The sequence below is a fragment of the Homo sapiens genome, chromosome 11, assembly GCF_000001405.40.
Source record: "Homo sapiens chromosome 11, GRCh38.p14 Primary Assembly".
Classification (NCBI taxonomy): domain Eukaryota; kingdom Metazoa; phylum Chordata; class Mammalia; order Primates; family Hominidae; genus Homo; species Homo sapiens.
In genome coordinates, this window is record NC_000011.10 from 5582731 (window position 1) to 5595803 (window position 13073).

The 13073-nt window shown below is 40.1% G+C and overlaps 1 protein-coding gene across 4 annotated transcripts in view; it reads right to left on the reverse strand.

Annotated features, from left to right (window-relative positions):
* TRIM5 (tripartite motif containing 5) overlaps positions 5905-13073 on the reverse strand; it is a 96440-nt gene continuing 89271 nt past the window's right edge. For all 4 annotated transcript variants that reach the window (XR_007062522.1, XR_007062518.1, XR_007062519.1 and 1 more), the window contains 2 exons: positions 12502-12620; positions 5905-8293 (listed from right to left, as the gene is read on the reverse strand). The gene's annotated coding sequence lies outside the window, so the exon portion shown is untranslated. The remainder of the gene's footprint in view (positions 8294-12501; positions 12621-13073) is intronic.

A 13073-nucleotide genomic window follows, 5' to 3' on the forward strand; every position in this document is an offset into this window, starting at 1 on the left:
CTCAACCTGAATTTCAGCCCAAGACCAAACTATTCTTGAAAACAGTTCACATCTCAATCCTGCCCACTCCTATACTCAGCCCACAGTGAAAGAGCCATCATTTGAGATTCTGCCCCACTTTTCATCTAAATCACTATTTTGTTGGATCATTAGTATATTGCTTCTCGTTTTATTAGAAATCTCATCTTTGTGTCTTAACTCCCTGTCTAGAGTGTACAATTCTTGAGAAAGAAAAGATTATTTTGAAGGCTTTTTATCATATTGCCCCAAAGCATGAGAACCCTCTCATAGCGAATATGTAATATGAGTATATGTGTATAAAATTCTTCTTTAAAAAAATTTAACATCACTTTTCTGCTCTAGACTCATTCTTCTTTGCAGGAGTTCTTCCTCCTGGGAGACACTGGGACTTAATGTCACGTAGAGGAGAGAATTGTGCTAGGTGCCAGGAGACATGGATTTAAAAGTTAGATGTACTACTTGGTCAATAAGCTTGAGAGTCTGCATAATATCCATGAACTTAATTTTCTGCTCATCTTTGAAGAAGATGAGAATAATATAACATTAAGTATCTATTGCAAATAAGCATTCAATGAATGTTCAGTTCATTTCCACCTTTTTCTTTCCACGTAGCTCTCTGTATCCTCTAGACAATGATAATAAAAATTAGAGAGAGGAGTCATTAGCATCCTTATTATGTGGAAAAGAAAACTGTAAGATGTGGTGATCAAGTTTTGAGTTCTAGATCTTTTAGAAATTGACTCTGTTGGAAATGACTGTTCCATTTACTCACTGTGTGAGTCTGGGCAAGTGACTTTACTTCTCTGTATCTCAACTTTCTTTTTCTTTTTCATTTTTTTTTTTTTTTGAGACAGAGCATTGCTTTGTTGCCCAGGCTGGAGTATAGTGACCTGCTGTCAGCTCACTGCAACCTCCACCTCAAAGGTTCCAGCGATTCTTGTGCTTCAGCCTCCCCAGCAGTTGGTACTACATGTATGCACCACCACACCTGGCTAATTTACATATTTTAGTAGAAGTGGGGTTTTGCCATGTTGCCCAGGCTGGTCTCGAACTCCTGAAATCAGGTGATCCGCCTGCTTCAGCCTCCTGAAGTGCTGGGATTACAGACCTGAGCTCTCGCACCCAGCAACTTTCTCATCTTTAAAAGGGAAATAATAATAGTAACTTTCTCTTAATGATTTAATGAGAAATAAATATATATCCATCTTATAACAGCACTTTGCATATAAATAAGTGCTCTATAAAGGATAGCTTTATTTGTATTATTGTTTCAATTATTATTAATGAATGGCTCATCCGACATCATAATGGTTGTTCTGAGACCTAACCAGATTGTGTATCATACTCAAACTTTGTTTCTACCAGGAGGACTAGGAAAAAGAAAACAAGAATAAAACAAAAATATTTTAATCTAATATTTACAGTAACTAAATTCAATCAAATATAATTCTAACATGTCAAAATTAAATGTATTCTTTAAAGAATTGTAGAGATTTCTTTAAATCTATTTTTTAAAATTATTTATTTATTTTTTATTATCATACTTTAAGTTCTAGGGTACATGTGCACAACATGCAGGTTTGTTACATATGTATACATGAGCCATGTTGGTGTGCTGCACCCATTAACTCGTCATTTACATTAGTTGTATCTCCTAATGCTATCCCTCCCCACTCCCCCCACCACACTACAGGCCTCGGTGTGTGATGTTCCCCTTCCTGTATACAAGCGTTCTCATCGTTCAATTCCCACCTATGAGTGAGAACATGCGATGTTTGGTTTTTTGTCCCTGCAATAGTTTGCTGAGAATGATGGTTTCCAGCTTCATCCATGTCCCTACAAAGGACATGAACTCATCCTTTTTTATGGCTGCATAGTATTCCATGGTGTATATGTGCCACATTTTCTTAATCCAGTGTATCATTGATGGACATTTGGGTTGGTTCCAAGTCTTTCCTATTGTGAATAGTGCCGCAATGAACATACGTGTGCATGTGTCTTTATAGCAGCATGTAAATCTACTATTTAAATCAACTATGCCACTGAAGACATATAAACTTGACTGCTGTTTTACAGATACACCAAGCTCATTTCCTTCTTCAGGCTTTTGTGCTTGTTATTCCTGTTTCCTGAAACTTCCTTTTCCTGTATCTTTACATGACTCATTCCCACCTTTCCTGCATTTCCCTGTTTATATGTCTCTTCCACAGGAATTTCTCTATGATTTTCTAATAAGACATATACCTCCATTTCTTTCATGGGGAAAAAAAAAACCATCATAAGCAAAGAGACAAAAGTCAATGACAAACTGAAATCTTTTCAAGTTATATTGTAGATAAGACGCTTGCTTTTCCTAATACTTATAAGTTCCTCAAAATGTAGAGGAAAAAAATGATCAAAAGCCTGATAAACATAAAGAACAGATACATCATTAGAATATGCTTTGCATACTATTAATAAGAGAAAATACAATAAAAACTACACCAAGATACCATTTCTTACCTGTCAGATTAGTAAAAGTTGAAAGGATTAACCTCGTGCTGGCCATAATGTTAGAAAACAGAGCCTCTCATACTTTGCTTATGGATATACCATACAATAGAATTTTTAAACACCAAACAAAATGTGTATGAATTTATTATTTGATCCAGAAATCACGTTTATAGGAGTTACATTTCATATATGCCTCCTTATGTACAAAATGATGTGTACAAGGTTAAAGATTATGACAAAATTTTTGTAACACATAAATATTTGAAACAACCTAAATACAGTCTGAATTCCTAGGTTTCAAATCCACCCCCTCATGCTTACTAAAGTATAAAAACTTGTTAACATTTACCAAGTTACAAAAAGGCATTATAATCACACAGACGGGTTAGATTGCAGTCACCATATTCAGTACATACTACCTAACTGTTTGTCACCAGGCAATTTGGTAATTATCCTCTTTAAGCCTCAGTTACCTTCTCTGTAAAAAAAGAGTAATAATACCTGCTTCAGGGGTTGTTTTGTTTATTAATGAGATTAGCTAGATATAAGAAATAAATAACTGGCATATTAATAGATACTTTATTGCTATCAAAATTTTAACTAATATAAAATAGCTAGAATATGCTTTATTGCAGGTATATTTGTGTGCACCTCTGGTAGAACTGTATTTCCACTAGCTGAATGCCTAAAAGTGGAACATCTAGATCATAGATCATGCATATTTAAAATTTTGATAGATGCTGCCAAATTGTCTGTAAATATTAGCTAGTAAATTCATAGCAATTGAACAGTATCACTTGTGATATTATCACATTGTTCTTTTACTTGGAATTTAAAAAAAGACTATCTTTTAATAATTCGTATCTACATGTTATCTTCTTTGAATTATCTTTGTTCATTTTTCTCTAGTTTTCTTGATCTAACTGATTTTAATATTTGATATATAAATTATATTAATCCTTTACAAAATAAAAAATATAGCAGAATATATGCAAAATATAGAAGCATATACCAAAAATATATTTTCCAATTTGCTTTTCAATAGAAAAGTCAACAAGCAATTTCAAGAGAAATTTTTAATTTTTGTGTTTGCCAGTCTCCATACTTATAAAATTAGTTTCATTATGTTTCTCTTTATTTCAAGATCAAGATTTTCTTCTATAGCTTCTTTTGTTATTATAGTTTGATTACAAAATTAACACATTCTGTTAGTATAAAATAAAAATTGAAAAATATAATTTCCTGATGCTATCTCCACAAAGGTAATGTGTACTTGTTTAGAATCAAAGGAAGAATCTGTCATTTTTTATGTAAGAAGCAGTTTCATGTAAGAGATACCGCAAAAGGGCCTCCTCTTATAGATTGAAGGCTGAGACCCTGAGTGAGAGATTAAATAAGGGAGATTTATCTTAGAGGGTGTAACTAAATTTATAGGAAAAAATATCAAGGAATTTGAGACATTTCTTTTCACTGAGTTCCTAACACTCTCCCAAGTCTCCGTCTGAATCTTCCCCTAACATTACCTAGAGAGTTATTCTCAGTTATCCCTGAGAATGCTCAAATGAATGAAGGCATAGTGGAAAAAAAACCTTTTTTCTACCCTCCTAGATTCTCCAGCTAGGGCCCTGAAAATTAGACTGACAAAAGACAGATTAATAAGAGAAAAACAAACACATTTATTAATATGTGCATTAACATGGGAGAAACCTATTGATAACTAACTCAAAAGGGTGGTTAGAACATTGGCTTACATAACATCTTAACAAAAGAACAATAGATTTTTAAAAAGTGACAAAAAAGAGTTTCAGGCTTCTAAGGGTAGCAAACTGTAGGAAAGTAAAAATGTGGTGGAAACTAATGGAGGATAAGGGCTAATTAGTAAGGTTTGTGTAGGCTCTTTCTCAATGCCATATTGTCTGTGGTGATAGGTTGTTATTCCCTTTCTGGTAATACGGAGAAGTATGAGTCAAGGGGAGGGGGTCACCATCACAAGAGGAATTTGTGTTTAGCTTTTGGGCAGCTAGGAGGAGGGCAGAGAGCTCATCCTGTGTCTGCTTTTTCTCAATTACCTTCAGCTTAAAAGGATTCTTATGCCACAGTGGTACATTTTGGAGTAGCATATTCTAAACCTATCTCAGTCCATTTGGGCTGTTATAACAAAATATCAGAAACTAGATAACTTATAAACAACAGAAATTTACTGCTCAAATATCTGGACGCTGGGGAGTACAAAACAAGGTGCCAGCAGATTCGGCATCTGGTAAAGGCCCACTTTCTGATTCATAGATGGTGCCTTCTAGCTGTGTCTTCACATGGAGAAAGGGATGAGAAGGTCTCTCTTGGGTCTATTTTATAAGGGCACTAATCCGTTCATGAGGGCTCTAGCCTCATGACCTAGCCACTTCCCAAAGGCTCCACCTCATAATACTATTGCAATGGTGATGAGGTTTAAATGTATAAATTTTGTGGGGAAAGGGTGCAGCACAAACTTTTAGACCATAGTAGAATCCCTTCAACAGCTTTACCATTTCAACTGGACAGATGTTTAAAAATTTTTTTTTTCTTTTTGTTTAGGTGGAGTTTTGCTCTTACTTCCCAGGCTGGAGTGCAATGGCACCATCTTTGCTCACTGCAACCGCCACCTCCAGGGTTCAAGCAATTCTCCTGCCTCAGCCTCCCAAGTAGCTGGGATTACAGGTGCCGGCCACCACTCCTGGCTAATTTTTTGTATTTTTAGTAGAGATGAGGTTTCACCATGTTGGCCAGGCTGGTCTTGAACTCCTGACTTCAGGTGATCCACCCACCTCGGCCTCCCAAAGTGCTGAAATTACAGGCATGAGCCTCCGCGACTGACCTAAAATAATTTTAATTGAAGGAGCAATAAGAAGAAAAAGGTGGAACAGTTTCTTCCCCATCTCACTTGCAGTTTTCCTTTTCTTCTTCTTTTTTTTTTTTTTTTTTTTTTGAGACAGAGTCTCACTCTGTCACCCAGGCTGGAGTGCAATGGCGTGATCTCAGCTCACTGCAACCTCCACCTCCCAGGTTCAAGCGATTCTCCTGCCTCAACCTCCCAAGTAGCTGGGACTACAGGCACACAACACCACCCTCTGCTAATTTTTTGTATGTTTAGTAGAGATGGGGTTTCACCATGTTAGCCAGGATGGTCTTGATCTCCTGACTTCGTGATCTGCCTGCCTCAGCCTCCCAAGTGCTGGGATTACATGCGTGAGCCACTACGCCTGGCCACTTGAAGTTTTTCAAAACTTATGGTCCTCAATCCCCTTATTATTTTAATCTTTAACCCCAAACAAGACCATATGAAGACCTTTTTGGTTTTTTTTTTTTTTTTTTGAGTTTCAGGTGTCACAACCTAGATGGTGACCTTCTTTCTTTCTTTATACTAATTTTATTAATGAGAAGCTTTTTAAAAAGCACTTGTTTACATGTCTATGTTGACATCAATTGTGATTAGAATTAAACAATCCTAGGGTGTATGTTCCATTTTAGCTTTTGGTAACTCCTTCTACCTGCCCACAGATTTTTTTTTTTTCTTTTTTGAGATGGAGTGTCGCTTTGTTGCCCAGGCTGGAGTGCAGTGGTGCTATCTCATCCCACTGCGACCTCCACCTCCTGGGTTCAAGTGATTCTCCTGCCTCAGCCTCCTATGTAGCTGGGATTACAGGCACATGTCACCACACCTGGCTAATTTTTTTATATTTTTAGTAGAGGCAGGGTTTCACCATGTTGGCCAGGCTGGTCTTGAACTCCTGACCTCAGATGATCCGCCCGCCTCGGCCTCCCAAAGTGCTGGATTTACAGACGTGAGCCAGGGCCCCCTGCCACACATTTTTATCATACCTATCTCAGACAATTGAAGTTTTTCTTTTCCTCAAAAATCCAAGCTGAGAGGTTATAATAAATACAGTGGAGCATATTTATTTGTATTCTAAACTGGTCAAATAGTCACTGTAGATGGAATCTTAGAGGAAAAATTATGAAAGATTTTAAAATAAAAAAATGCTTACTCATCTAGTGTCCTCTTCTGAGTTTTCTTAGCTTTGTATCGTCTTTGAGGTTAATATAATTTATTATGGAAATTATATTGAGCTGAAAATCATGCAAGTGATTTTGCCCATAGAAATGCAAATTAATTGTCTCAAATAGACATGTATTTGATGATTCTGTTGTGGATGTTGACTTGTTTTCATCTCTTTGTAAATTCATTGCAAGTTTTTCTGATCACTTGTATTTATGTGTGTTTTTAAATTCTCCTTTGGGTTGGTTACACCATCTTGCTGATTCTCTCCTTAATTAACTAAATAAATCTTCGGCATGTGTTCATTTTATATGTCCATAAACTCTCATTTTTTTTAAAAAAAGAAAACATCTTTTAACAGAAATCAGGCTAAAACAAAAAAGACAAATTAGTGGACTATAGGAATGGTCTACTTGTGAGAGGTGACAGCGTGCTGGCAGTCCTCACAGCCCTCCCTCGCTCTCGGTGCCTCCTCTGCCTAGGCTCCCACTTTGGCGGCACTTGAGGAGCCCTTCAGCCCACCGCTGCACTGTGGGAGCCCCTTTCTGGGCTGGCCAAGGCCAGAGCCGGCTCCCTCAGCTTGCAGGGAGGTGTGGAGGGAGAGGCGCGAGTGGGAACCGGGTCTGCGCGCGGCGCTTGCGGGCCAGCTGGAGTTCCGGGTGGGCGTGGGCTTGGCGGGCCCCGCACTGGGAGCAGGCGGCCTGCCCTGCCGGCCCGGGCAACGAGGGGCTTAGCACCCGGGCTAGCGGCTGCGGAGGGTGTACTGGGTCCCCCAGCAGTGCCAGCCCACCGGCACTGCGCTCGATTTCTTGCCGGGCCTTAGCTGCCTTCCTGCGGGGCAGGCCTCGGGACCTGCAGCCCGCCATGCGTGAGCCTTCCCCCGCCTCCATGGGCTCCTGTGCGGCTGGAGCCTCCCCAACGAGTGCCACCCCCTGCTCCAGGGCGCCCAGTCCCATCGACCACCCAAGGGCTGAGGAGTGCGGGTGCATGGCGCAGGACTGGCAGGCAACTCCACCTGCAGCCCCTGTGTGGGATCCACTAGGTGAAGCCAGCTGGGCTCCTAAGTCTGGTGGGGACTTGGAGAACCTTTATGTCTAGCTCAGGGATTGTAAATACACCAATCGGCACTCTGTATCTAGCTCAAGGTAAACACACCAATCAGCACCCTGTGTCTAGCTCAGGGTTTGTGAGTGCACCAATAGATATTCTGTATCTAGCTGCTCTGGTGGGGCCTTGGAGAACCTTTGTATGGACACACTGTATCTAACTAATCTGATGGGGACGTGGAGAAGCTTTGTATCTAGCTCAGGGATTGTAAATGCACCAATCAGCGCCCTGTCAAAACAGACCACTGGGCTCTACCAATCAGCAGGATGTGGGTGGGGCCAGATAAGAGAATAAAAGCAGGCTGCCTGAGCCAGCAGTGGCAACCCACTGGGGTCACCTTCCACACTGTGGAAGCTTTGTTCTTTTGCTCTTTGCAATAAATTTTGTTACTGCTCACTCTTTGGGTCCACACTGCTTTTATGAGCTGTAACACTCACCGCGAAGGTATGCAGCTTCACTCCTGAGCTAGCGAGACCACGAACCCACCAGAAGGAAAAAACTCCAAACACATCTGAACATCAGAAGGAACAAACTCTGGACACGCAGTCTTCAAGAACTGTAATACTCACCGTGAGGGTCCGCGGCTTCATTCTTGAAGTCAGACCAAGAACCCACCAATTCCGGACACACTTGCATCTAAGATAGTAACAGTAAAGATGGAGAGAAATAAATCAAATGGATAAAACTTCTTCAAAAGGAGAAATTAAAAGGACAAAAATTGAATGTTGGGATGAGGAAGAGGAAAGAATTTAGGAGTTCATTGTTTCTGAGGAAACTAAAAAGGCTAGTTGTACCATTCATCAAGATAAGTAATAAAGGAGAATAAACAAGTTGGTGGGCAAATAAACACTAATATTATATACTGTTACTGAGCAATCAATGGGCTTGCCTCTTGACATACAAGCCAATACCATGGCACCTTTTGAGAAAAGCAAAGCTTTATTGCAAGTAGACTGGCAAGGAGACAGAAGAAATGGTTAGCCGGGCGTGGTGGCTCACACCTGTAATCCTAGCACTTTGGGAGGCCGAGGCGGGCAGATCACCTGAGGTCAAGAGTTGGAGACCAGCCTGACCAACATGGAGAAACCCTGTCTCTACTAAAAATACAAAATTAGCTGGGCGTGTTGGCACATGCCTGTAATCCCAGCTACTGGGGAGGCTGAGGCAGGAGAATCGCTTGAACCTGGGAGGCGGAGGTTGCACTGAGCCATGATCGTGCCATTGCACTCCAGCCTGGGCAAAAAGGGCAAAAACTCCGCCTCAAAAAAAAAAAAAATTAATGAGGTATGATCTGATTGGATCTTGCAATGAGGTGATGCTGGGAGACATGATCTGATTGGATCCTGCCATGGGGTGATGCAAGGGCTCATCTGATTAGATCCTGAATTCTGCCATGTGAGGTTCTTTCTTAATTCAGTCCCTACTCCTCAGTCTGAGCATTTGGGTTCCACCTGTGGTTGCATGCTTGGTTTATCTAGGCATGTTCAGGCTATGTGACCTTTAGCCCCGGGGGGCTGTGGCAATTGAAAAACAGCTCACAACTATGACACTTAAAAGTTAAACCAGATGAGTCCGCTGAGGTTATAACATCTTGTTTTTGTTCTACCTGTGAGTTAGTTACTCACATGGACTCTGGAGCCCAAAAGAGGTCTGATCTATAGTTAATGTTAGGACTTTGTCAGCTAGGAAACTGGATGGGATTATCTAGGAAGGGGATTTAGAGAAAATGAGATAATAGGAAAGAAACAAACAAAAAGCTATATTTAAGTGACTAGCTTGATTTTCTTCAAATTGACTAGAATGTGAATATATGCACAGCAAAATTCATGTTTTATTCATCGGTATTACTCCAGAGCCCTGCCAAATGCTTGGTACTTCATTATAGTTAATAATGCTACCTATCACTCACTGACGAGCTATTGTGTTTCAGGGACTGTCCTAAGTACTCCACATATACTTGCATATTTAGTCTTCACAATAACTCTATGCAGTAGGTATTTTACAGATAGGGAAACTGAGGCCCAAGAGAGGTTAAGTAACTTGCCCCAAATCATACAGATGGTAAGTAAATGAGCTAGGATCTGAATCTTGGCAAAACTGGTTCCAGAGTCCATCATCTTAAATACCATCTTAAATACCGTGCTATATGACATATATAGTTTAATATGTGTCTGCTGAAAAGAAAGAACAAAACAAATTTTTAAAAAGAAGGAAGGAAGAAAATATAAAATATCAAAGGAAAGATGGGGCCAGGCGTGGTGGCTCACACCTGTAATCCCAGCACTTTGGGAGACTGAAGTGGGTGGATCGCTTGAGTCCAGGAGTTTGAGATCAGCCTGGGCAACATAATGAAATCCTGTCTCTACAAAATACACAAAAATTTACCCGGCACGGTGGTGTATGCCCTTAGTCTCAGCTACTTGAGAGGCTGAAGTGGGAAGATCACTTGAGCCCGAGAGTTTGTGGCTGAAGTGAGCTGAGATTGTGCTACTACATGCCAGCCTGGGCAACAGAGTGAGATTGTCTCAAAAAAAAAAAAAAAAGAAAAAAGAAAAAGAAAAAAGAAGAAAAAATGAGAGGAAAGTAGGGAAAACAAGAAGGATGGAAAAAAGAGAGGGAGGAAAGGACCAAAAAAATGCATTAATTAGGTCCATGTTTGATGATCAGAAGCATCTGAAAACAAAATTGGTGGCTTGTTTCTCCTACATCCCTAAGCCTCTGGAACAAGAGGTGTTTCTCCCTGAAATTTGTTTTCATTTGGTTTTACTGAAGTTCTTCCTGTAATCAGATGTTAACAATTATCTTTCAGAAAATCCAGTTAGGCCTATCCTGAATTCTCAAGCATAAACTACCCTGATTCTTAATCTTAGCCTTGCAATATCTACTTTTTTCTTTTCTTTTGTTCCCATCAGCTCCCAGCTGGTAGTAATGAGTTAAGAAGGGTTTTCCATGAGAGGGGCAGAAACATTTCTGACAACAGGAATCATCTAACACTGCTTTCAAACAAGTTGTACTGAAAAAATATACTAGAGATTTTTTTCACAGGAAGTCTCTCTCCTGTGAATATATTAGAGATTTCCTCAAAGAAAATATATTCGAGCATATTAGAGATTTGCTCACAGAAAATCTATCTCCTGAGTTTGTATTTTTTTTATCACTATTTGGCTATGAGAATATTCTGTGACCCTTGTCATGGTCCTGTTTGCTTTTCCTGAAACCTCTTTCCTATCAAATGTTAATATCCACTTATTGCTATTAAGAAATCTTGACACCTCAACCTGTGCACTAAACAATATTCCTGGTATATACTGAGTATTTAATATTGAGTATTGTAATAATAACAGGCTGGCTCTGTTGATACCACCCTGAGTCTAGAACTGCAGCAGTGGGTCCTGAGTCTAGAACTGCAAGTACTCTGAGTATTCAGGAACTTGGGGCTGTCAGCAAATCTGTGCCCTCTTTACCTTCAAACCTGTCCTACTGGATGCATCATATTACCCCACCAAACCTCTGGATCCCACATACTTGGTTCCCTTTTAACACTAACAGTATTCCACTGTATTGGGTATACCACTTGTTTTTCAATACATTTAATACTTGATGAACAGTTGGGTTGATTCCATTTTTTAATATGAGTAAAACTGCTATGGACATTTGTGTACAAATCTTTGCACGGATATGTTTTCATTTCTTTTGAGTAGATTCCTACGAGTGGATTTGATGGATTATGTGGTAAATTTATATCTAACTTTTCGAGACCCCTTGAATTATTGCCAAGTACCTTCATTTCTTCTCAACCGTCAGAATGCCCAATCTCCCTGTTCAAGATGAGAAATTATAGAGAAAATAAAAACTGCCTTGGTTAGCAAACAAAAAGGAAAAATTCTGCACACTGAGAAACAGTCTTTCATTCTGTTTTTTGTTTTCTTTTTTGTTTTGAGACTGATTATCACTGTGTTGCCCAGGCTAGAGAGCAGTAGCAGGATCATGGCTCACTGCAGCCTCAACCTTCCGGGCTCAAGTGATCCTCCCACCTCTCAGCCTCCCAAGTAATTGGGACTACAGGCACGTACCGCTATGCCTGGCAATTTACTTATTTTTTTTAGACAGGGTCTTACTATGTTGCCCAGGTTGGCCTCAAAATTGTGGATTCAAGCTATCCTTCCACCTCGGCCTCCCAAAATGCTGGGATTACAAGCGAGCCAACATGCCCAGCCAACATCCTTTTTTTTTAACTGAGCCTACTAGCCCCAGAAATGAAGCCCTATGCTGACAAGACTATGGAGCCTGTAAGTTACTTCCATTTATATCAGCTCTTAGAAAATGGCCTGAGAAGGGACTCTGGGTTGGGCTTCTCCATCCCTTTTCCAATATTTCTAACCCTCTGGGTGTCAATCATACCATTTTGTATTCCAAGGGACTTAAATGTTGGCTGGGCCAGTGGCAGGGTGGTGTCCATACTGGGCAGTTTGGGTGGGGTCAGGAGAATTTCAGAGCATAAGCAGGCTTTGACCTGAAGCGTCATCCAGGGGCAATATGGAGGCAGCCATACCTAAAACCGTTGTGAAGAAAGCTACACAAAGGGTGATCTGAAATAACCTTTGCGTGGCTTCTTAAGCCTGCAGACATGAGGTAGTCACTGAAATAGTGACACATGTCTGCACTTACGAGATTCCAATGACCTTTCATTTGCCTGGGGACTGTCCAGAGAAATCTCTTGATACTTAACCCAGCTCTCTCCCTACTGCCCAATCCTCCGTCCAGACTTTTGTATGGACACCCCAGTCCCTTCTCTCTCTATACCTCCCTCCCCAAGCCACCTTCTAAGGCAAGGTGATACTCACCTAATCAGTCTCCTTAGGGAGGAACTTTGACATTCTTTTTCTTCTCAGAGTTTCTGTGCTATTGAAACCCTGTAGTTAGAGTTCTGAGGCTCAATAAGCTTTACATGTATTCATCAGACCTAAATAAAAACAAAGATTGTCTTCTAGTTATATAGGTCAAAATTACAGATACACACACACAGCTTTATACATACATACGTGTAATTTTAAACTGATGAATTTTAATGATCGTTTGGCAAAACATGCCATTATGCAAAGGGGCTTTTACTCGTATAACTTTATATGTTTATTTAGACATTTTAATTAATACGTCTATATGGAGTACAGGTGTATTATCAGTGTAATTAAACTCTGATATGATATTAGAAAGCTACAGTACACTGCAGACAATTTACAAGGGTCATCTCTGGCCTGGTGTTCTCAAAGGCCTCCGGATTTGCCGTTCATCAGGTAAGATGAACAGCTTTGCGTTGCTACCTTCAAAAATTCTTTTTTTTTTTTTTTGAGAGAGAGTCTCGCTCTGTCTCCAGGCTGGAGTGCAACCTCCACCTCCCGGGTTCAAGCGATTCTCC